Consider the following 24,412-nt stretch of genomic DNA (forward strand, 5'->3'; position numbering starts at 1 on the left):
GGGCATGGGGACGCTGGCCCCTGTGTCCGCCGAGGACGTCCTGGCTCCTTTTGGGGGTCTCTCCTGTCAGGACAGGTTCCGTGGGGTTGGAGGGACTCAGCCTGTTTCTGTGCCATCCGCCTTTAACGGCCCAGAAACGTTAGTGACTGAGAGTAAAATAAGGTCGACTTCACAGTTTCTTTCTCCTCAGCAGTGTCTGGGGGCTGGTCCTCAGCCATGACCGCCGGCCCTGGTCTGTCATCATCCTGATAATTTTCCAGAACTCCACCTGCAGCCGTCATCCTGGGCGGCCCTGCTCCATCTGTACCCTCTGCCCTGCCCTGGTCCTGGACCTGCTCCGCTCTGCATTGCGCTCTGCGGGACCTGAGAGGTTTCTCAGCAGGAGCTGAATAGTGTTGAAAAGGCTTCCAGCCCGCACCTCAGTGGGGCACTTTTCTTCATGGGACATGCGGGGTTGTCTGGGCTGGAGAACACAGATTTGGGGGCACTCCGGAAGGTGGCAGAAGGTTGGCCCTACACGGGACCCAGTGGTCATCTCTGCAAATGCCGGGGCTGGGCTGTTCCTGCCTCAGAGGCCTCCCTCCTCCAGAGCAGGGGTGGAGAAATCAGCCTGGAGAGCCTCACGGCGCAGGAGGGATTTGCCGGGGCTGCCTCTGCATAGAGCCCCCTGCAAACAGAGGAGCTGTTTTATAGCACTGGATTTAGCTTGCAGGGTCCTGGAACACCTAGAGACACCAGAGGGGGAGACCGCAGATGAAGACCTCCTGGACGGCCGGGCAACCAGTGGCAGTCCCACGAGCCACGGGGCCGTGGCCAGCCTCCTTTCGGGACACAGTCCAGCCTGGAGGGAAGGAGGGGACAGGGGACCTTTCTGATTCTTCTTTTTCCTTTTCCTTTGGAATGAGAAAACAGCCTCTACGTTCTCCCATTCACGTCTGTCATCAGCTGAAGGAGCTCTTCCCCTTTTCCCCACTGACTCTGCACCCTCCACGGGGACAGCCTTGCTTTCGGGGCACAATGAAAGAAACATGACTGGAGACATTACCAAGACCTGTCACTTGCTACCTTCTCTTTCTGAAGCCGTAAACATGAGGAAAGACTCATCGTTAGGTTATTATGAATGATGGACCAGCTTATGTGTTTCAATGAAAGCTAGGCTATCACTGAGCTTGCTGGCTTAAAGCTGTGTGAGCCCACTGCTTAATTTTTGGGACACAAAAGGTCTAGAAATGTCGCCTGGCCTTTTCCAGTAGAGGTTGGCCCAAGAGCATGAATTTTCTGGCCAGCATTTCGTTTCTTTTTCCTTCACGTATGTTGCCAGCACTCAGGGCCTGTGGACCTGCCTTCTGTGCAGGGTGTCTTGTCTTTCGGGGCCGTGGCTGCTTCCGTAGGAGGCATGGCAGGTGCCAGCCTGGGGCTGAGCTCTCCCCACGTGGAGCTCAGGGCCTCAGAGGCCAAAGGCACATCCCTCAGAGGGCCTGGAAATGGAAGGCCGGGCTGGGTTTACGGCACACCCAGGCCGGGCTCTAGTGGCTCATGGTCACAGCCTGTCCACACAGCATGGCGCTCCAGAGAATGCTCAGAGGCTTAGGCTCAGACAGACATGAATTCACGTCTGATGGGCGGAGCACCCGTGTGACCATGGCAGGTTGCCTCCTTTTTATCTGCAAAGCTGTGGCAATGATCCCCACCTCCAAGGACTCCAGCGAGGCACATGTGAGACGCTGCATGGGAAGAGCGTCCTGCAAACCCGGCCAGATGGCAGCTGCACCGTCCCTCTGCCAGGTGTCCCTGGAGATGCCTGCCTACCCAGCTCTGTTTCTGTTCACATCTCAGTGTGACAAGCAGCCTGGAAGGGCCATGCTCGAAAGGCTTGGGCCAGGAGCTCTTACCTGGTGAGCACAGACTGCGGCTTCCCAGACACCAACAGGGGAGGGGACAGATGTTGCGCCATGCTACGCCATTGACTTTTCTGCAACTGATACGATGGGAATAATACTCCACTTCAGTTCACAGGGTGGGGGCAATAGTGAGTGAGAGCTGGACAAGCCAGGGAATATTGAGAGACCAAAGACACCTGTTGTGGATTTCCTGGGCCATGAGAGCCGCCTCTTGGACGTGCAGGGTTGACGTAGTCAGCCACTCTTCTGAAACAGCGGCCTGGGGACCAGGCAGCCACGGTGAACCCTGGTACATCACAGAGGGTGCTGACATGGGCTGTACTGTGGGAGCTGCTGTGTAATCATTGCACACTGGGCAGTGGTGTTTGGCATTCCCTGTGATTACGTTCAGCCACCTAGACAGAACCCCAAATCACGGTGGGTGAAACAAGATGGAGCGCATTTTCTTCCATGCACAGGAAGCATGGCAGCTGGCACTTACAGCCAGCGTGAAGCTCCCAGGGGCTCCAGAGCCAGGAGCTCTCTGCTCCTGGGCCTCACATCCCTGCTCATGGCTTCCATGCTCCCTGCCAGCGTGGCTGCTGGAACTCCAGCCTTCTCATCACAATGCGTACAGGGAGGCTTCCAGAAGCTCTGGGTCAGTATTCCGGCGTGCATGTCCTCCACCCTAACGCACTCACCCACATGCGCCGAGCAAAGTTGGAGCGGGTGGAGAAGGGCCTGGCGGTGCAGAGGCCCCAGGATTTCTGGACAGGGCAGCTGTGGCTGCAGCAGGGAGGTGCAGTGCTGCGGGGAGGCGGTTGACAGCTGTCGCCTTTTGCCACTTCTGAGCCCAGCCACCAAATTGGTCCACGTCTCTTAGAAAATTCTGTGACATGGCAGATTCATTGACACTCCTGGTCATAACTGCTTCCCTTCTCCCACTAGACCACCTTCCCTCCCCAGCCCCCTTTTGGTAGCACAAATACAGCTGCTGTGTGTATTGGATCCAGCAGGCGTGGATCCAATTAAACCTACACTATTTGTTTCACTTTTCTTCAGAAAGAGCCTATGAAATATGAGTTTCGGGGGCAAAGTTTTTATCATCAGAGCTGTTCCTTTCCAGCAGACCTTTCAGTTCTCAGCAGCAGCCCTTCTTTCTGGGGTAGGAACTGAGCTGGTCTGTGGGATGCCCCGCCTCGTTCCAAATGGGGTCCATCCCTGAGACAAAGGCACATGATACAAAGCAAAGCCGCACAAACCTGCGGGAATCAGAGTGAGGGAGATGGAGGTGGAACAGCCACGCGGCCCGAGGAAGCAGCTACAGAATGAAGTCTGTTAGTTCCCATTCAGGCACCAGAGTGGGCCACACATTTGCTGGTAGCTTCTATCGACCAGTGCAAAAAGGCGACCGAGGTCTGTGATGTCCCAGAGTGAACATGACAGAGCGCAGGGGACACTCGGGCCTGAGCCCCCTGCCACCAAGGAAGAGGACCTTGAGGAAGGCATGGGTGCCACCTGTCCACTGCACACACAGCCCTTCTAACGAACACGGACCCTCACGGGGCCCGGCGGGGCTCAGACACCGATTCTAACACAGACCCTCACGGGCCCCCGCGGGGCTCAGACACCGATTCCAACACGGACCCTCACGGGCCCCGCGGGGCTCAGACACCGATTCCAACACGGACCCTCACGGGGCCCGGCGGGGCTCAGACACCGATTCTAACACAGACCCTCACGGGGCCCGGCGGGGCTCAGACACCGATTCTCACACGGACCCTCACGGGCCCCGGCGGGGCTCAGACACCGAGGCTGACACACTGCCCTGTGCACACCTGCCTGGAGCCGGTGGCGGGACCCAGGGAGAGACAGCGTGTCCTCCAGCGTCTCCCCAGCTCCTCCGTGGTCAGTGGAGAGTCCATGGGAACGTTTGAGGCTTTGATCCTTGGCAAGAATATTTTTTTTTTGAGATGGAGTCTCACTCTGTCGCCCAGGCTGGAGTGCAGAGTGGTGTGATCTCGGCTCACTGCAAGCTCCGCCTCCCAGGTTCACGCCATTCTCCTGCCTCAGCCTCCCGAGTAGCAGGGACTACAGGCGCCCGCCACCACGCCTGGCTAATTTTTTGTATTTTTAGTACAGACAGGGTTTCACTGTGTTAGCCAGGATGGTCTCAATCTCCTGACCTCGTGATCCACCCTCCTCGGCCTCCCAAAGTGCTGGGATTACAGGCGTGAGCCCCCGCGCCCGGCCGGCAAGAATCCTGCGTGCGGATGTTAAACCAGGGGCCAAATGCAGCCAGGCTTGCACAGTGGGCTTGTCTTCAGCAAGATGGGGGCTGCCTCAGAATCACCAGGAACGTTCGATAAAAATGGAGACTTCCGGAACCTGCCCTAACCTACTGAACAGTATCGTTGCTGGTGGGTGCCCTGCAGTCTGCATTTGGCAAACTGGCATAGCGAGTCCCATGCCGTGTCGAGCCTGAGCCCCACGTTTCATAAGGGATTAGGGTCACTGGAGCTCACGAGGCCGCACCTGTTCCTGGCTGGGTGCGCTTGGGCACTTTGCCCGTCTACGCCTGGAACTTCTCTGGTGTAAACTGGAATAATATCTCCTTTACATGGCACAGAACTAAAGATTCTTTGAGTTCCAGGTAATAAAAACCAAGGCCAGACTAAATCAGACAAAATGACATTTAAAACATAATAAAGACAGGATTGCAGCTGACAGTGGATCTAGAGATCCACAGTTCACTGGGCCCCCACCCTGCCTGTCGCTCAGAAGTCTCCCCTCTGTGTGGCTTCACTCGCAGGCCGCTCCTCTGCACGGAGCAGCAGGGTGGCCGCCATCAGCCTGGTCTCATCTGCCCTCAGGGCTGATGGTCCTGGACAAACAGCTGTCTCTCTGTTCATCAAACTTGAGTTCATAGCCTTCCAGAGGTGGCTGCAAAGCAGGCGGTGTGCTCACCTGGGCCGATCACACCTCTGAGGGACCGAGCGCTCTGAGGACGGTGCCCCAGGTCACACCCGTGAGGGGCACACATCCCCTGGGCTTCAGAGCAACGCAGCTGTGTCCTCTCCACAAGGTGAGTTTGAGGAATCTGTGCACATGGGAAACACAGCCTGCGTTTCTGAGAACAAGGGCTTTTCAGGTTCCCTCCCTCTAGGCCCTCCAGGCCTGGGGGGACAGGTCCTGGTGCCACATTCATAGAACTACACGGCCCTGGCTCCTTCCAGGACCCAGAGGCCTGGACAGGAAGTGCTGGAGCAAAAGCGCTCCCATTCACACCAGATTCCACCAGCTCCTCAGGGGCTTCCGTCCCAGCCGGGGCGGGGGGCGGACACCTGAGAGGAGAGGCAGAGACCTCCCAGGAGGGTGGTGCGTGGCCCCTCCCTACAGCCCATGGGACGACCGCACGGGAAGCCGCTGGAGAGCCGCCACTGAGCAACGTGTTTTCCGTGAAATAAAACTAAAAGGCTCCTGGTCTCTGTTTACCAGGTAGATAAAGAAATCATAGTCATCAAAAGTAGCAAAGTGTTCATTAAACTTGATACAAAGTATATATTTAGGTGTCTGAATGTTTCCTGATGGAAGCATTTTCAAGGGCATTTGCCTCAGCTATGGGAACCAAACATTTACATGAAGGAAGGTTTAGAGGTGAACGTCCACTGCGGAGGTCGGAGAAGCACTCAGGTCAGCGGGCAGAGCGGCTAGTCGGTGGGCCGAGCTCTCTGCTACCCCCGCAGGAGTGTCCCGACGCCATCCCAGAAGCAGCACCTGTGGGCCACGGCGTTTGCTTAGAGCCTGGACTGAGGCTGCCTGGACGGGGCCCCTCACCCGGCCAGAGTTAGGGGTGCCGCTGCCACCCCCATGGACCCGCTTCGGGCTGCTCAGTCCTTGTTCATTTGCATCCATCTTGGTTTTTAGGAAGGCAAGTTTCTCAGGAGCTCAGAAAATTAATTTCGTAGTGATTAGGCTATCCCCAGAGTAACACGTTCCAACTGTCACCAGCACGGACTTCTCATGAAGCCTGGGACCATTTGCAAGGACTCCCGGGTGTGTGTGTGTGTGTGTGTGTGTGTGTGTGTGTGTGTGTGTTTTCCTGTGTCCTCTGAGTAGACACCGCTATGAATGTAGACTTGAGGTTTCTTGGCAAACATGTGTCCTCACTTATGTGGCTGAGGATTCTTCCCCGACTCAGGATGCAAGTGCCAGGGGACCCGAGTCTCCGGGGAAAGCTGGGTGCATGCACGGTTCTTTGATCCGTCATTTGAATAATTAGCTCTTAATTAGCTGTCTGAGTATGATCATCAGCTTGAATGTAAGTTTCTTTAGAGGACACTGTGCTTTCCCATCCTGGTAAGTGGCGATGATGGGTTTCTGGGTATGAGGTTAATTTGAGGAGGAATTCTCACCTCCTAGAGCCTGGCAGACAGCAGTCATGTGGCGCGTTAGCCAATTACCGGGAAAGCTTCCTGTGCCCGGACGGAATCTGCTTCCAGGAGCTGGGGGAGAGGAGGCTGCACATTGCTCCTGGTCACTGCCGGCGCCTTCTGTATCCTCTGACCCACCCTCCTACGGGAGGGAACGTCTCCGCTGGGGAAGACGACCGTGTGGGCTCATCTCCAGCCACTGTGGTGACTATTGTCGTCCCCTTCACTCCGGATGCTCTTTCCCCCATGGCCAGATGCCAGCAGGGTTTGTCCCCAGGACCCTGCAGGAGATCCCCTCTTCATCATCCTGGGAGTGTGACGTGGTCTGCTAAGCAAAGCTCCTTCCCTGCAGCAGGTGAGTCCTAGCTCAGAGGACACGGACGGTGATTTTCCAACTGTCGTGCTCAGAACAAACTTTCACATCCAAGAAATGTTGCAGACATCCTAGAAAGGATGAATCAAACCCACAGGCCCTCAGGCCCCCATGCAACACTGTGCTGCCTTGGCACAGAAATATTTACAGCAGAGTTCCCGTGTGAGCCTGCAGACACAGCAACCATTTTTTATAACAGTTCTCCAAAGTCTCTCCTCTTGAAAACAGAGCAAGTTGCACCCTGGTCTCCGTATCACATCGGCCTGCAGTTTCACACGATCTGCTTGGTTCGGAGTGCTGTCTTTCAGACCTGGCTGTGGCCACATGCTCCTCACAGCTTGCACATCCCTCAGTCTCGGCACCACGCCACACGGGAGGGGTTCCACCACGTCTCTGAGCTTAGGGTGGCCGGTGGTGCCCAGGGGAGGGGGAAGCCCGTGGCAGGCGTGGGATGGATTTGCTGAGTGACTCTAACCACTCCTTATGGAATGAGCACCACCTCGCCAGGGGCCTTGTCCTTGCCATCCTGGGGCCACACGTGTGGCTGCAAGGTCCCTCTGGCAAACCTCCTTTCCCTCTGGGGCTGGTTGAGGACTCCAGGGGGCCAGCCTGGAGACCAAGGCCGTGCTGTGTGGTCAGCAGACCAGTGAGGAGTCAGCAGACCAGTGAGGGGTCAGCGTTCTGCTGTGGCTGCCTGGACTCCTCTTCCTCTCAAGACAGCAGTGTCTGGGGACTGCCAAAACCTCTGCAGGGACCAGCAGCACAGGATCACAGAATTCCACACTTCCTGCTAAATCGGGGTCTCCTTTTCATCCGTCACATCTCCCTTCCCGACTGCACCATCAACATCAGTTCCTCATCTCCACAGCCACCAAGGGCAGCTCAGCTCAAGCTCTAGGACTGGCCACCCCTCTTCCTGGACTGTGATGATGGAGAGAGGCCCCAGTCCCAGGCAGCCACGAGGACGGCGCCTGTCCAGACACACAAAGCAAGGGCCCCGCAGGAGAAGCAAGCCTCCCTCACTCCAGATGCCTCGCCATGAAGCCGTACACCCACCCAGCCGACCTGCACGCGAGAGCTGCTCATTCGTTTTTCGGCTCGGCAGCTGCACGACCTTGTGGGTTCCTGAGCTGCTGGCTGGGAAGCTGAGGTTGGACTCAGACAGGCAGGAGGCACGCAGGCCCCGGAGTGAGGCGCCACCGTGGCTCAGGGCAGAGAATGCTGATCTGAGGAGGGAACATCTAAACTAAGGCTTGGAGGGTGGGTGGTCGGGGGCGAGGGAGGAGTGTGCCCCAGCCTCCTATCTGACCTGAACGTGCCCATTTCCATCTTGGCAGGTGCTGAGGCAGTGATGCTGCCGGGCGGTTCCACGGCCTCTCTCCCCAGGGCTCTGAGTGTCAGGTGGGGGTCCAGGCTGAGGCTCAAGTCAGGTCTGCTCTGTGTGCCCCTCACTCTGCTGAGCTCCAGGCATGTTTTTCCTGAAGCCGATTCCCTGGAACACATTGCAGGGCCTGCGGACATCCACCAGCGTCCACGTGGTCAAAGCCCACCTTAGTGGGGTGGAGAAAAATGTTCCTTCCATGGCCATCAGGAGCAGGGCTGACCATCGCAGGGAGGGCTCACATCTGCCCAGTCTCTGCCAGCGAGTCTCCTCTCAGATCCCACGTGGGCACTCCCTCCCCACCCCTTCGTCTCTAAGATTAAATCCAGGTGCCTTGAGCCCCAGTCCCCATGTTCCCCTCAAACCCCTGTTCCTCCCCACAGAGACACATGGCTCCAGCTCCACACCCGAGCACCTGCTGTTTACGGTTTGTGCTGACCGGATGCTGTTTCTCCTTCCATCTCCACCTGCAAATGTTCTGCTGACCCTCAGGCCGGTTTGAAGACCAGCACAGCCCATGTGAGCAGGGCACAGGGCCCCATCCTGAGTGGCTGGCCTGTCCGGGGGAGGAAGTTCCACCCCACACCCACCCCACCACCACAGGATGTGCCCAGAAGGCGGAGGGACTGGCCACTGTGGGGGCTCCCATGTCCAGGCCGGGCCTCCTCAGCATAAAATCAGCTGACAGCAGCCTCAACGCGCCACTGCCTGAGAGGACACCGCCTCTCCAAACCTGGGAAGAAGGCAGCCACGCCCTGGGGAGGGAACAGGTGGAGGTGGGTGCCAGGACTAGCCAGGACTTCCTCCCAAATATTTAGAAACTTGATTGCAATGAAAAGATAGCATCACTGAATTAAAGACGTCATTTATTATGGAGCTGAGATTTGGTTTGCCCAGCAGCTTAAAACAATGTCACTCACAGCCTTGTGGCACCTTGGGACGGGCAGGTGCCTACACAATTATTTACTTAAGAACATACCTTCCTTTAAAATAACCAATGTTGTACTTAGATAAATGTATTTACATGGGAGACTTTCTGTCACAGATTTGATGTCTCGTGATCATTTCTCTTAGTATACATTAAAAGTTAATTATTGTCAGAAAAAGTTATCTGAAACCTGGAACTAAGTCCCTAAAGTGGGCAGGGCTGGGGGGAAGGTTCCCGAGACCTGGGCTGGTTCCCAAGACCTGGGCTGCGGGGGACTTAGTTCACCTCCCAGTTTGCTGTTCAAAGGTTCCAGACTCAGAGACGTGTCCCATTATCTGGATTTTAGCCGAAGGCAGATGCAGTGATCTCTGTCCAGGGAGACAGATAATCCACAGATTTCAGGCCGGCTGGACATTAACCAGTCCATAACCCAGAGGTCTTATCTCAGCCTTTCTTGTCAAATTGCCTGTAAACACCTCTTCTGTGAAGTGTGCTCAGCAGCCAGTCACAGCGTCTGCCATAACATCGCCCCTCATTTGTTAATGAATTCAATGAAATCTTCGACGTGTGCCCATTTTCCATTTGCTGGAGAATCACGATTTTACCCTTTTGAAAATTATACGTTAGCAACCATAAACTGTTCTCTAAGTACATACAGGCAGCAGCTTAAAATCCTCCTGTGGGCTAAAGGCTGGGCAGTCCTATCAGGGCTGTGATGGGGGGAGGTGGCTGGTTTGTGGAGGAACTTCCCCTCCCTCCCTCCCTCCTTCCTTCTTTCCTTCCCTCTCTTCTTCCCCCTTCCCTCCCTCCTTCCCTCCCTCCCTCCTTCCCTCCCTCCCTCCTTCCCTCCCTTCCTCCTTCCCTCCCTCCCTCCTCCCTTCCTCCTTCCTATTCTCTGTCCCTCCGTCCTTCCCTCCCTCCCTCCTTCCCTCCCTTCCTCCCTCTCTCCCTCTTTCCCTCCTTCCTTATGTGAGACATGTGAGAGTCTCACCCCAGCCTTGGGGGACACAGCAGGACGCAGGCAGTGGGTGTAGTGGCCACTGGGTGGGCTGGAGGGGGCTGCTCAGAGGAAGTCTCTCTGAGTGCTTGGGGAATGAAAGGCCTTTAATGAGTAGAGACCGGAAAGGAGCAAATGCTTGTGTGTTTCTCAAGAAAACAGTGTGAGGGAAGGCACAGAAGCAGCTGGAGGAACAGGAACAGCTGGGGAAAGGGCACGCGTGGCCAGACAAGGAGGTCTAGAAGAGGCAGTGCCCTCACTCTCTGCACAGACCTCGTGCTGGGGATGGATGGAGACCAAGAGTCTGACCTTCTAGTGGGGGGTGTTTGAAAGCCCCTTAGGGCCCTGCCACCTGTGGTTTGGTGTTGACAACACCTGCTCTTCCCTGGGGGATCCGTGGACCTCCCTGCATGGTGCATGTGGCAGGGCCCTGTGGCTCCAGAAAATTCCTGGCCACCGTTGGGGTGCGGGGCAGGGTCAGTGTGCCCGGGTCCATGCCAGGCCACCGCTGCCCCCCAGGCTCACGACAGGACGGCGAGTGCTCCACACAGGTGGGGTGCCCTAGTTCTGTGCAGGTGCACGTCCGAGTGTGGCCTCTGAATCAATTCCCTGAATCAGCCCCACAATGGGGATGTCTGTGTAGACACAGCCCCTCGTTCCCAGCCCTACCAGCAACCTGAAAGGAGCCGTGTTCCTCGAGCCTATAAAATTAACCCCTTCAGCTGGCTGCTTACCCTACAGTGTCTCTGGTGAACCCACAAGGCCCAGCCCTTCCCAACTGGCCAGGACCTGACCCAGGAGCTGGTCTGCGGGAAGGCGTGGGCTTAGAAGGAAGTGGGGTGTGGGGCTCACGGCCCCTTCCTGAGGCTGCAGCTGCCCTGGGGAGGCCCCTGTGCTGAGACATCTTGGAGTGAGGGTGTCCGCTGAGAAGAGGGCTTAGCCGAGGCCCCTGGGTGGAGGTTCCTGGTGTTCACCCACCCTCCCTTCCTCCCGAGACCTGGCCGGCTGGCGTCCCCTTTGGTGCCGGTTGGAGGCTCTGCCTGCAGGCTGGGCTCCTCCCCAGTGGGAGCTGGTGTTCCTGGTATCACAAGAGCGTCTCCTGCTTCCTCTTCTTGCACAGGCAGGACCGTCAGGCCAGCCTCAGAGCCCTTTTCTTCTCCCAGCTCCCCCAGAAGTTGCCCCCTAATCACCCCTTCCAAGGACATTTCCCTTATTTTCCACTCAAGACAGCGCGAGGCCATCCCTCCTGCCCCCGTGTCAGAGCCCCCGAGGCCCCCAAGGCAGACACGAAGCTCATCCCGAGAGGGACCTCGTGAGGGCTGCGGTGGCCCAGCGGGAGGTGCTGCGTCCTGACCACACACATCACAAGCTCCAAGTCAGCACCTGTGTGAGGAACAGGCTCTATTCACGTCTCTCAACGTGGAGAATGAGCTTCTACCGTGCTAGGAGCTTCCTTGCCTGCTGTGCACTTTCGTCTGATCAGCAGCCAGATGCTTTTACAGTGTTCCCACAAGGACAGCGAGCACCAGGACCCCACCTCTCGATTGTATTGTGTCCAGTTCTACTGCGACTCCAGGATAGCCCCTGAGAAAGGAGAACACAAACACACAGAAAGGGAACATCAGCTCTGCCCTCCCTGAGCGCCTTGTCTAAGTCTGAGGGTGGTGCCACCTCTGATGGATGCTGAGGTATGGAGCCTCTGTCATCTATGACCAGACATATGGGGCAGGCAGAGATACACAAAGGCCTGCAATGGGAGCAAACACAGGCTCTGCACAGGAGCCTCCGGTGGCCTCGGGGCCAAACGTCACTGTGTCCAGCGGGTGGGGGAGCTCCAGGCTGCCGGCAGCCGGCCGTCCTACACGTCAGGCTAGAGGAGCACCCGTGGCTTCTCTGGCTGGGCCTGAGGTGGGAGTGATGTGGGGAGGGTGGTGGTAAACAATCAGAGAAACTGGCAGTGTGGACCAAGTCCTGACCTCGGGGCAGCTGCTGCAGAGGCCCTGGCCAGAGTCCCATGGGCATCCTCAGTCCGGCTGGGGTTGGGGTGTCCCTGGAGGGTCCGTGTCCCTGGAGGGTCCGTGTCCCTGGTGGATCCGTCTCCTGGAGGGTCCATGTCCCTGGAGGGTCCATGTCCCTGGTGGATCCGTCTCCTGGAGGGTCCGTGTCCCTGGTGGATCCGTGTCCCTAGTAGATCCGTCTCCTGGAGGGTCCGTGTCCCTGGCGGATCCGTCTCTGACCGCGCGTGCTCTTCACCATGGAAGGAGGTGCTGGTAGCCAAGCCGCCCTCCCCAAGTGGGCGTCCACTTTGAGGAAACGCGTGTGTGAGTCCCCTTGTTGGCTGGGTGTCTCCGTCTAAAGGGACAGCTGGAACTCCCCACAGTACAAGGTCTCACCAGGGCCCCTCAGATCCCACACAGCTGCAGGGATGTCCCTGCTGCCCGAGGTCTGGTGAGAGGCTTGATGGAGGATTCTGCCAACCCCCACCTCAAAACCCTCACAGCAGCTGCATTTTGAGGTTTTGTTCAATTTTATTTGCAGGTCTTCAAAATGAAAAAAATTTATATGTACCAGGCCAGGTGTGGTGGTGGCTCATGCCTGTAATCCCGGCAGTTTTGGAGGTCAAGGTGGGCAGATTGTTGAACCCAGGTCTTTATGGCCAGCCTGGGCAGCGTAGTGAGACCTCACCTGTACAAAAAATTAAAACGTAGCGAGACACGGTGGCAGGATCGCTTGCGCCCGAGAGGTCAAGGCCGCAGTGAGATGTGATCGCACCACTGCACTCCAGCCTGGGTGACAAAGTGAGTCATTTCTCTCTCTCTCTATCTATATATATAATCCAGTGAATCTAAAGCATTTCCACGTTAAAAGTCACAAGGATCATTTCAAAGGAAAAATGGACCTGAGCTACTCTCTGCCTCAGCTCAAGACCCTGCTGGGGAAATCGTTAGGTGGAGCCTTTGCTGGAAACAGCACCATCAGGTCCGCCTGTGCCCCAGCGCCCGGGGAACACAGGCATCCCTCCCCTCCGGAGGGCCTCCCCAGGCGGTAGAGACCAGTGCATTAGGCAGAGGCCTCGGTCCTGCCCGGATCTGCCATCTCCTCGTTGTGTGGGTTCCAACCTTGCTTTAATAGCTCCCACACCATTACCAGGAAATGGATCCACTTACTCTGTGCGGATGAGAATTCCATTAATGTTCGCTCTGACCTTTGCTAATCCCAGCGTCATTCGCAGTGCCTCCATCTCAAAATCTCCTTAATGCCAAAGGCGGTAATGGGTGTCTGCTGTGCCTGCCTAATGAGCTGTAAAATGAACCAGTGGGTGATTTGTTTCTTGCCGTCAAGACCCTGGTTAAGTGACGGCCAGGACGGTGGAAGGAAGGCCGGGGGTCCTGTCCCCCAGACGGCACTCCAGACATCAGGCTCTCGGATCACAATTGATTCAAAGGTAAAAACACGTTCATGCACACACCTGGTTTTCCATTCTCTTAACATTTTTTTCTCCATAATTAGTTTCTCCAGCATCATCTTGGGAGAATGTTGACGTCACTGATCTTGGTTTCTCGGATGGTGATGAATCTGGGCAGGGGGCTGGAGTGGAACCTGCCAGCCCCTCCTCAGCCCGGGCGCCCGACCTCAGCTCCCTCCAGCCCTGGACTCTGTTTTCTTCCAAGACTGGGCCCTGCTTCCCTGCACCACGGTCCGCCTGGATCCTGCACACCCAGCCCGGTGGCTCCTGCCCACTCAGCGGGGCCCTGACGCCCTACATCTCCTCTGTGAGCAAAAGCTCTCTTGTTGTTAGAGAGACTTGCGGAAGCCACACACCCATAGACCGTTACTTCTACACATTCTTTTTATTTCACACAGATCTGCATCCCTTGAAGTACTCACGGGGACGTATTCCGCATGGTTTCCATCTTAGTGCACATAGAACACGGTTTTAACTTACAATCGGCACTGTCTTCTCAAGATCTGTCACTTTGAAAACGTCATTGCCAATAATTGTACATATTGCGTTAATTTCCTAAATCACTATTCACCATCCATCCTTCAAATGCTGAAAACACTCTCTTGATTCCCAATTTAAATACTTTTACAGGCAATACCACAAATGCCTTTAGAAATGGAAGTTTGTCTTCTTCTTGTTATTTTTGTCTCTTGTTTCTTCCATCGAATAATGGCCTTGTCGAGTTGGTGAGAGTGAATCACTTGTGAGTCTTGATTTCCAAAGAGGCTGAGCAGATTTACAAGGCCACAAACACCTACTTCAGATGAGACCTTTGGGGTCTCTCAGGAGGGGCGAGAGACAGAGCCGGTGACTCGCTGGGCGCTGACAGGACCCGCAAGGGTTGGTTCGTCAGTATCCACCACCCCCTTCCTCTCGCTGATGCTGCTCTGAATCTGACACTGTGGATTGGTTCGGCTGCTGTAGGATTTTCTACAAACGGAACATGGACAGGTCCTCTTTGGGTCCGCCCTTTGGTCTCAGCATCATGGCTGAGACAAGTCCTGTCGTAGCTATGTCAGAGTGGCGGGGTCCTCACTTCTCACTCCTGTCCAGATTCTCCTGTGTGTACCCCACAGGCTGTGCACCCGCTCTGCCATCAGTGGGCATCTGGGGCGCATGGCAGACCATGTGCATGTCGGCCATGTGAGCCCATGTCCTGGTGTCCACCCCATGCAGCCTGTCCCGGGGGTGGCCTGAGGCTGCCTTGCCTCCCCTGGGCTGAGGCTGGGACACCTGTGGCCTGTCTTACCCTTTTGCTGGCGTCCTCTGGGGAGTATCCAGAAGTGAGGGGCCCCACGGAGAGGCGCATGCAGCAGGAACCCCAGGCAGTGCCGGCAGCCCCAGGAGAGAATCCCACCAGCCGCCATGCGAGTGAGCTTGGAGACCACGCAGTCGGGAGAGGCCGCCCGGCCACAGAAAAAAGTCGTCCTGTTGTTCAGGATCCAGGCCAGGGTCATCTGCTGAGCAGCAACAGACAAGGAAAACCGCCGTTACGGGCACTGCTGCCATCTCGCAATTTACATAAAGTCTCAGCTCTGTGCGTGGGACAGCAGCGTTTGAAGCTGTCCCCATCAAGGGCCTGTACAACCACCTCCTTCACAGTTAGGGGTTGGCCGTCCTGAGGCTGCCCGACCCCCTCCCGGCTCCCCGACCCCCTCCCGGCTCCCCGACCCCCTCCCGGCTCCCCGACCCCCCTCCCGGCTCCCCTTGTCTGGGAAGCAGCTCTCTCCAGTGTAGCCACTCAACACGGCTGGTTTCATTGCAGCAGCGCACGCCCACCTGTGGCCACCCCGGCCTCCTCCCCGACACCCACACGGAAGGCCGTGTCCCCTCCCCTCCGTGTCCTGGGCGCAAAGGGCGCCCGGAGTGCCTGCGTGTGGACGCACAAGCCCAGGGCCACGGCGCTGCAGGGCAGCCCTTTTCTCACTGCAAGCCTGCACCCTTCTCTCACTGCTTTCCAGGGGGAGCTCTCTCAGGTCCAGAGCCCCACGGCTCACACCTCCTCTCCTGCCTCTGGCTTCCTGTCTTCAGGAGGATATTTCAAGTTCCAAGAAGGTACTCAGTAACTTCTTTGACTAATATTATGTTGAGAAATGATCATTTTACTTTCAGGTGCTTTTTAAAAGCTACATTCACAGAAATTTTAAAAAATCTCAATATGCGGTCATCTGCGTTTTCTGCTGGGGCACGCTTCAGTTCTGTGTTGGACACTGCGGAGAGTAGAGGGCTGGGCACAGCATCTGCACGGAGCCGGGCGCAGCACCTGCACGTGCAGACAGGGGAGGGCCCCTGGAGGGCTCAGCTCCCGCGTGAGGGTCCAGCCTGGACACAAGGTTGAGACGCACATGGGGACAAGTGGGAGGTATTGGGTGGGGCACAGGGGCTAGGAGGCCAAGGGCTTGCTCCTGGAATTCTATACAGGCCTGCAAACCCTGCTCAGTGGAACACCACACCAGACACAGTTCTGGGGCTGGAGGAGCCGCAGCCACCCCGGGACCCCCACCATCCTGGCATCAAGGGCCTCAGACTCTGCTCTCTGTAAGCTCCCTCTGGAGGGAGCAGAGCCAGTGAGATCTGGAGAACAGAGGGTACCTGGGCCCTTCCTGGAGAGTGGGGGACACTTCGTGTTCGTGGGAACGTCCAGCTGCCATGAGGGTCCCTGGGGCAAGCTGGAGGTACGTGCGGAGAAGGGGGCCAGCTCCTCTCAGGCAGCCCACTCCAGCCTATCTGTGACACTGGCTTCACGAGGGGAGTGAGGAGAGGGATGCGGGCCCTTAGCAAACCAGGAAGCCTGAAAAACACCTATTGACAAGAGCGGGTCAGAGGAGCTGGGGAGACGGCCCAGGTCAGCCCAGTTCAGAGGGAGAGGGCCCAGGTCAGCCCAGTTCGGGGGGAGAGGGCCCAGGTCAGCCCAGTGCGGGGGGAGAGGGCCCAGGTCAGCCCAGTGCGGGGGGAGAGGGCCCAGGTCAGCCCAGTGCGGGGGGAGAGGGCCCAGGTCAGCCCAGTCCGGGGGGAGAGGGCCCAGGTCAGCCCAGTGCGGGGGGAGAGGGCCCAGGTCAGCCCAGTGCGGGGGGAGAGGGCCCAGGTCAGCCCAGTGCGGGGGGAGAGGGCCCAGGTCAGCCCAGTGCGGGGGGAGAGGGCCCAGGTCAGCCCAGTCCGGGGGGAGAGGGCCCAGGTCAGCCCAGTCCGGGGGGAGAGGGCCCAGGTCAGCCCAGTCCGGGGAGAGAGGGCCCAGGTCAGCCCAGTCCGGGGGGAGAGGGCCCAGGTCAGCCCAGTGCGGAGGGAGAGGGCCCAGGTCAGCCCAGTGCGGAGGGAGAGGGCCCAGGTCAGCCCAGTCCAGCTGAGGCTCTCGGAGGACAGGACCCGCCCCGCGCTGCCAGTGCCGAAGCTTGGGTTCTCTGAGGACTGCGAGGGGGTCTCAGCACTGTGTCCACAGATGGGGCAGGGACCTCCGCAGGGAACCTTCTCTCGGCTGGGCCAGCCCACCCCAGGGGCTGTAGACGAGGGAGTTAATGAACACGGGATGGGTTGAGCCGCCTGGTTTGCCCACAGAGGGGCGAGGAAGGGAGTGGGGAGTCTGCTGTGAGCGGAGAGAGGACAGCCTGAGGCCTCAGGAACGCTGGCTGCCTGCCTGCAGCGGGAGCTAACGGGGCGTCTGTCGGGAAGGGGCACGGCCACAGGATTTAGGGGCAGTTTGGACACACTGGTCCGGTGAGCTTGATTTCAGATTCCGGGATCTGGTTTCGGAGTGGAGTTGTGGACTCTCCAGGACCCATCGCTGAGGAGCAGGAGGTTCTCCAGGGGCCATGGGGCCCGGGGCTCTGAGGGAGGCTCTGCACTCCCAGCATGAGGTCACCACAGGGCTAGGCCAGGGCCCAGACACAGCAAGCCACCAAGAGGAGGCCGGCCGGCGTGGAAGCCTCGCAGAGGGTGAATTCCAAAGAGGGCCCCTCCTGCTCTGAGACCCACACTCCCGAGCCACACTCAGCAGGTGACGTGCAACAAGACCCTTAGGGTTAGGGTTAGGGTTAGGGTTAGGGACCCCAGGCTCCATGCATGCCAGGGAGAGGCAGCGGTGTGCGAGGGCCTCCTGGTGCCTGGCAGACCAGGAGTGAATTTTGGCTGTCACCTTCTCTGAGTTACTCCAGTGTAGAGAGGCAAGGCCTGGGTCCAGGGTTGTCTCAGTCTCAGTGCAGCCCCTCAGAATGGGGGGCCCATGCCTAGCACCCTGGGTGGGGAGGAGCAGGCAGCTAGCTGGAGCTTCTGGCCCTTTTAAAAGAGGCCCCATTCCCTGGGCCTCGAGGGAGTGGCTGTGCACATTCAGACATGCACTGACCCATGTACACACACACATACACGCACACGTGTATGCACACTCACACGTATATTTGTACATACACATGTGCATACATCCACATGTACAGGTACACACAGGTATGCACGAAGGAGGTTCCCAAACCCTTTCTGCACCCCTTAGCTGCCTTCCAAAGGGACACGTCCTGATTTCCCTGTGGTGGGACACTGAGCATGCCCAGCTTCTGCGGGGCCAGGTGACGCACACGAACTCAGGGTCTGCTGAGGCAGGTGCATTGGCGACGGTGGACAGCAGAGAAGTGGGATGCCTAGCGGCAGGGGCTCTGCCCTCACAGCTCCTCTGCCAGGCAGGGACCAGGTCCCGCTGTCAACCAAGGGAAGCCAGGCCCTGGCCACCCGGCCCTGCATTTCAGAGGGGGCAGCACCCAGTGTTCTGGGGTCTCAGTTACTGAATGAGCCTGGGCACCTGCCTGCCCTCTCTGGCCTCAGTTTACCCCCTGTACTGCTGGGCGAGGGATCAGGGCATAGCGAAGGACCATTTCAGCTCCGCTGGTGCCACACTGCTGAAGTCCTGGCCGCTTTTTCCTGCATCCTGGGGTTTTCTGACAAAAGGGGAGCATGTTAGTGCTTGAAATGGCCTCACCTCTTGCTATTTTTGCAGGAAGCCTGAACGCAGTTGTTAAAAATAGAAATAATGAAGGAAAGCAGCAGCTTCTGCCCTTGAGTCCTGAGGCCAGGACAGGACTCCCAGGATCCTCTCCAGGCTTGTGATGATAAATGATCATTGGGCTGCATTTGTCCTTAGCTAATTTATCCTTGGCCTAGAGAGAAAGTTTCTGCCTTTTTTTTTTTTTAAGAGGAAAGCTGGAAAGGTGCTTGAGGCCTAATAACTTTGCTTGGTCTTTTTTGGGCACTGGGCCCTGCATTTTCCACCTGGCAATGCTGTGTGGGGCTTCTTCCAGGCACTCTGTGGGCCTCATGCCGCCTGTGCTGGCCGGAGCCAGCGTGGCGATCAGACGTCTGGGTGTGCCCGGCACGACCCCACCTCGCCGCTCCCCTGAGCTGTCCTTCCCCTGCAGAGGGGCCAAGAAGCACCCCTGGGAGGCCATTAGTGTCAGCAAGAAAGGTACGGCAGGGCGGGGCCAGGACAGGGTGAACAGGACCCCAGCGCTTGGTGGCCACGAGTCCCAGCTCTGGGAGGAACAGGCCTTGAGGATGCAGAGAGGTTTGCATTGGCAAAAGTCTCGGCATCTCTCATTTTTCCCGTACATGCACCACCACCGCTGCTTCCTGCTGTAGCCCCTCTCCGCCAAGAGGCATTCCCAGCCCCCAGGACCATAGAGAGGGGCAGGGGTCTTCAGCGTGGCTGAGGGCCACCGCCTGCGGCACGTGGGAGGAAGCTGCCAACTACCCCCATCCCCTGAGCTGAAGTCTCCTTGCATCTGGGCCTTGATTTTTTAATGCGAGATGCAGCTCAAGGCTTGCGGTCATACTTCTGTCTTCAGGTGCGAAAACTGCGTTTTCTTCTTGAGTTCCGTGTTTCAGGGAGAGAATCGTGAAGAAACAGACTAAAGGACTTTGTTGCAAGCTACAGTCATGAAGAAGGACACGTGGGTGAGGCTGGGAGCCCGGGGAGCCTGGTGTCAGCCCCAGTCCGAACAGCGGAGCCAGCAGGAAGACCCTGCCTCTGTGAGTGTGTGGGGTGCTTTGGAGATGGGGGTGTGTTTAGATTTTGTCTCTTCCATGTTATTCCCATGGCAGGCTCTGCACCAGTCCCCGGCGCTGCCTGCGGCATCTGATTCTGCCGGCGCTGCCCGCTTAGCTTATGGGTATGCAGAAGATCTGCATCATGGTTCCTGCTGAAGAAGGGAGTGTGTGGCTGTGTGTGTGTGGCTGTGTGTGTGTGCGTGTGCACAGGCATGCACACACCTGTGTTTACATGAACACATATGAATACAGTGTATGTGTACACACACAAACACGTGTGTGCATGTGAGGTACATGCATGTGCACATTTGCTTACATGTACGTGTGTGTGTGCACGTGCATACACATGTGCGATTGGCAAGTGTGTGCATGCATATGTATATGGGCACATATATGTACAGGCATGTATGCACGTTTGTGTGTTTGGTGTGTCTATATATGTACGTGTATATGGCCACACACGGATACAGGTATGTATACACCTGTGCATGCACGCTTGCCCAGACACACAACTGCACACCTCCCTGCCCTGCACCCTGCCTTTGGGCTCTCCATCGTTGCTGCTGGCTGATAGGTCTTGAAAGGCCCAGGCTGGTGAGTAAGTCCTGCCCCTCAGGTGGGCAAGACTGGGAACAGCCTATCTGGCCTTCTTCAGGTTTCCTCTCTCAGCCTGGAGGAGGGCAATAATGATGCAATTTCTTACAATAATGATACCTTACATTGCATAATCGTTCGGGTCACTCAAAATATTGAAAACAGTAGCACAGAAAGGTTAAAGGGTTCCACAGCAACTCAGCAGCACAGCCAGCACCACGAAGTCGGCCACCGCCCCACACTTTAGTCAGTTGGGTGACCTGGCCGGCCCTGGGAGGACGCCTCATTCAGCTGAAGCTCATCCACATCCACGTCAGGGGGCTCCTTGGTGTCCCGGAGATGCTGCCAGCTCCCAGCCCCAGGACGGGTGTGAGGCTGTGGCCCACGGGGTAGGTCCCACCAGGGTCTGAAACAGTTCCCTGAGGTGCAGGGAGGTGGGAGGCAGTGAATCCTGCTTTGAAAACTGACTTCAGCTGTTCAGGGTGGGTGGGGCGTGGGCTCAGGGGTGCAGCTGACGCGTAGGTTGGCTCCAGCTATCACCCCAGATCTGGTCCATCCGCAACAGCAGCCTTGCGTGTGGGCTGAGCAGTTGGTTGGCCACATCCAAGCTCTGTTGGGAAAAGAAATCCACTGGTGCCTGTGGTAGGAAACCAGTGCCTCATCCTTGGGCCGGATCAGGTGATCTGAGGGGTGGGAACTGCTGCCCCCGGCTTGGCTGTTCTCCATAAGCCGGACAGGCCGACCCATATGCGCGTGTGTGTGAGCTCGTGGTGAGCAGAGCCCTCCCCCTTCAGCGGAGGTCTGTGACCACCTCCCCGAGCTCCTTCCCTCCCCAGGGCACCGCCGAGGCCTGGCTGACATCACGGGGTGTCCTGCCCAAGGCCCTGTGGTTACTGGACACACTCAACCTGCTGCCTCTGGCCTTTTCCTCACTTTCTAAACCTTCTCTCCACTTCCCAGGGAACTCCTCCTGCACAAGGCGTCTTGGCTCCTGCCCTGCTACACCGACCACGTCCCTCCCTCAGCCGGTCCCCGATACTGAGCACCTTAGAGGCAGCCACTCTTCGCAGGCCTGGTTACCTGTCTTGCACCATGTGCATCTCCTCCTGTGCATGGAGGAGGAAACCAAGGCTTCCAGCCCCAGAGCTCGCAAAGGCAGAGACCCCAGGCTCCCTGTGTGCTCCTGTGCATGGAGGAGGAAACCAAGGCTTCCAGCCCCGGAGCTCGCAAAGGCAGAGACCCCAGGCTCCCTGTGTGCTCCTGTGCATGGAGGAGGAAACCAAGGCTTCCAGCCCCGGAGCTCGCAAAGGCAGAGACCCCAGGCTCCCTGTGTGCTCCTGTGCATGGAGGAGGAAACCAAGGCTTCCAGCCCCGGAGCTCACAAACGCAGAGACCCCAGGCTCCCTCTGTGCTCCTGTGCATGGAGGAGGAAACCAAGGCTTCCAGCCCCGGAGCTCGCAAACGCAGAGACCCCAGGCTCCCTGTGTGCTCCTGTGCATGGAGGAGGAAACCAAGGCTTCCAGCCCCGGAGCTCGCAAAGGCAGAGACCCCAGGCTCCCTGTGTGCTCCTGTGCATGGAGGAGGAAACCAAGGCTTCCAGCCCCAGAGCTCGCAAAGGCAGAGACCCCAGGCTCCCTGTGTGCTCCTGTGCATGGAGGAGGAAACCAAGGCTTCCAGCCCCAGAGCTCGCAAAGGCAGAGACCCCAGGCTCCCCGTGGGCCAGGACCACTGGCCTTTCCCTCCGCTGCTTGGGGCGTCCTGCAGTACCGGGCTCAGGGATGGAACCCTCACGCGGAGCCAGGACGAGCAGGCCACACAGAGGGAATGCCGACCACGTCCCTGAAGCCACAGTGGTGAGGAGGGGACTGTGCACTTCAGTGTGAGGTCGGGAAGGCAGCGTCCTGCTCGGATTGTAGAAACGGGCAGAAACCCCGACGTGGTCTCTCCTCGGTTTAACCGAGAAGATGCTGAGGCCTGGTATCCACTGTCCTCCCTCCCGAAGGCCAGACTCAAAAGGAGGAAGTACAGGAGGATGGTGCAGCTGGGCTTGTCCCCTCACGGCCCCAGATGCGGCCTCCGCCACGGTGTGGTCTCTGCATGCAGGCCCCTCCATGCTGCAAGAGGTGGCGGGCTCTGGGGCCGCATCGCACCCCCGATTCGTGTCCTCCAGCCTGTTTCCTCGCCTTAGGTGGGACGCGATCACCCGCCTGCGGGGAGTCTTGCTGCCGTGCGACAGTGAGTAGAGGCCGGGCACAGGCCCACAGCAGGCGCTCAGCAAACGCTCACTCCCAGGTCCCCGTGTGCCCGTCTAAGAACCGCGAGGCTTCAGGCCTCCAGGAGGTGTCTTGCGGGGGCAGCCGCTCTGACGTCGCCTCTGCCCACTGTGTCTGGATCCCTCGTGAGGGGCCCCCAGACCAGAGGCAGCCGAAAGGTAGAGTCCAGATGCGGAGGGAAAGACGTGATCTCCGAATTCCGTGATGACAGGTGGGCAGCGGCAGCTGGAATTACACACCAGTCCCACAGCTGTGGTTTTAAGCACTAATATTTTACAGGTAAGAAGCTCCATCTCCCACGGCAGATTGCAACCGTCAGGGTTGTTAGATTCGTGCGGACCGGACGATGCGTCTAAAGGAAAACGGACCCAGGCAGGAACAGCAGCGGCCGCCCGAGTGTTGGCAGAAGCAGGCCTGTTGCTGAATTGTGACGTTTGTAGAAATCGCTGTTTTAGCCGCTGTTGGCTCCTCTCAAGCTCCTGACAGTGATCCCAAGATCTGCTGGGAAGCACCTTCCCCGGCGACTCCTCGGGGACACCGGCTCCAGCTGCAGCCTCAAGTGACCCCTTTGCCGGAGTCCAAGAAAAGAGAAGCTGCTTCCGTGGACTCTTCTGTCCCAGATGAAGCCGCAGCGGCAGGAAGTGGTAGCTGGCTGCTCTCAGGGTTTATTTGGTTGGGACAAGAGGTCCCAAAGCTGTCCTTGGGAAGGAGCTTAGGCGGGGCTGAGCTGATGTGTGCCTCGAGGAGCGGAGGGAGAGACAGGGCAGGAGACAGGGAGAACACGGTCCAGAGGCAGCGGGGAACAGTGGGAGGGAGAGCCGGGCCCTCTGCAACGCCGGCTGTGGGCTGGGACAACAGGGGAGGGTGAGGCAGTCCCAGCTCTCAAGGCCTCTGGCCCAGGATGAGGTGTGAGATGGCCAAGCTGCCGTGGGGCCGCCCGGGAGGAGGAGAAGCAAACCCATCAAGGAGGGCTCACAGGCGTGGTGATATCTGACGAGGCTCCTGAAGGGTGGGTAAGAGTTTTCCAGGAAGGGTGGTTGGAGGGAGCACTAGGCGAGTGGCCGGCACGAACCAAGGCCTCGGGTCCCCAGAGCCCTGTATGGGTCGCAGTTGGGTCTTCCCAGGTTAGGGTTGAGGTTCGGGTTATGTCTCTTCCACAGCCCTTGAGAGCAATAGGATTTCAGCAAATGTAGCTTGTGTGGTTTCTGATGGTCAGAAATAATCCACATTTTAGGATTTCTGTAATCCTGTACTTTAAAACTGGCATCACAGACCATTGCCCCTGCAGACAGCAGCCTGGGCCTCCAAATGGAGGGGCCTGCGGGGGGATGAGCTGTCCGGAGGGTCCACACTGGAGGAGGGGGCAGGCCACGGCCCGGCTGGAGAGCCTCTGTGCCTAGTGGGCCCCGGAGCCCCAGGTCCCTGGTGCAGGGGGTGGAGGTCAGGCAGGCCCTGGGCAGCTGATTGCTGCCTGAAGCCCACCCTGAGGAGGGAGGGAGGCAGGGGAGGAGACAGAACAGATCCCTTGGGGGAAGCAAACCCACATTCCCAGACCCAGGAGCGCCCACGTCAGGGGGACCCCAGGGAGGGCCAGCCCTGCGTGTACACCCCTCCTGCCAGGACCCTGCTTCGGAGGTCACACCAGCTCCTTGTGGAATGGTCTGTTGGAGCGGACCTGACCTGGAGAATCCACGCCTCTCACACATGGAGCTGGGCAACAGCTGGCACCCGCCCCCTCGGCCTCAGCCTCCCTGGGGGCTCCCCCGCCACAAGAGGGGCCGTCCCGGGTGCTTTGAGTGGAGTGAGCTAGAGAGTCGGATATTAGGGCCACCTAGGAGAGCCGGCCTTGTCCATCGCCTGGCCGGGGCTGGACTGACGTGAGCTGTCTCCAAGTCCAGGAGGAAACTCACAAACTCTGAGCTACACAGCAGGTATGAGTCCTGCTGCAACACAGTGCGCTTTAAAAAGTGTGAATAAATTGAAACTTCATGAAATAGCCTATATTTACAATATCCAGACAAAATTAC

At 58.0% G+C, this 24,412-nt stretch overlaps 1 protein-coding gene and 1 long non-coding RNA gene across 2 annotated transcripts, besides 1 other annotated feature; both read left to right on the top strand.

Annotated features, from left to right (window-relative positions):
• Window positions 3,044–3,827: an enhancer, noted in NCBI's record as "H3K27ac-H3K4me1 hESC enhancer chr7:159391-160174 (GRCh37/hg19 assembly coordinates)". NCBI's record gives its function as "activates a minimal SCP1, AML or CMV promoter by ChIP-STARR-seq in primed H9 embryonic stem cells {active_cell/tissue: H9 hESC(primed)}" and the evidence as "EXISTENCE:reporter gene assay evidence [ECO:0000049][PMID:30033119]".
• Window positions 16,824–24,379, top strand: LOC105375116 (TRIO and F-actin-binding protein-like). Its single transcript, XM_017012903.3, has 4 exons — window positions 16,824–19,425; window positions 19,573–20,501; window positions 21,073–21,965; window positions 22,665–24,379. Exons 3-4 carry the CDS (start codon window positions 21,225–21,227, stop codon window positions 22,866–22,868), a joined length of 945 nt encoding a protein of 314 aa, XP_016868392.1. The 5' UTR covers window positions 16,824–19,425; window positions 19,573–20,501; window positions 21,073–21,224; the 3' UTR covers window positions 22,869–24,379.
• LOC105375115 (uncharacterized) lies at window positions 18,573–19,666 on the top strand. The gene is made up of 3 exons (NR_134324.1): window positions 18,573–18,937; window positions 19,317–19,425; window positions 19,573–19,666. It is a non-coding gene; the product is annotated as an uncharacterized LOC105375115 (long non-coding RNA).
• Window positions 24,380–24,412: the final 33 nt, after the last annotated feature.

Source organism: Homo sapiens, chromosome 7 (assembly GCF_000001405.40).
Source record: "Homo sapiens chromosome 7, GRCh38.p14 Primary Assembly".
In the NCBI taxonomy this organism is placed as follows: domain Eukaryota; kingdom Metazoa; phylum Chordata; class Mammalia; order Primates; family Hominidae; genus Homo; species Homo sapiens.

Excerpts from the sequence above, each read along its gene's own strand:
- LOC105375116 (XM_017012903.3), top strand. The coding sequence starts at position 21,225 with ATGGAGGAGGAAACCAAGGCTTCCAGCCCCAGAGCTCGCAAAGGCAGA. Across the intron at positions 21,966-22,664 it reads ACGTCCCTGAAGCCACAGTG|GTAAGAAGCTCCATCTCCCA; the intron begins GTGAGGAGGGGA and ends AATATTTTACAG.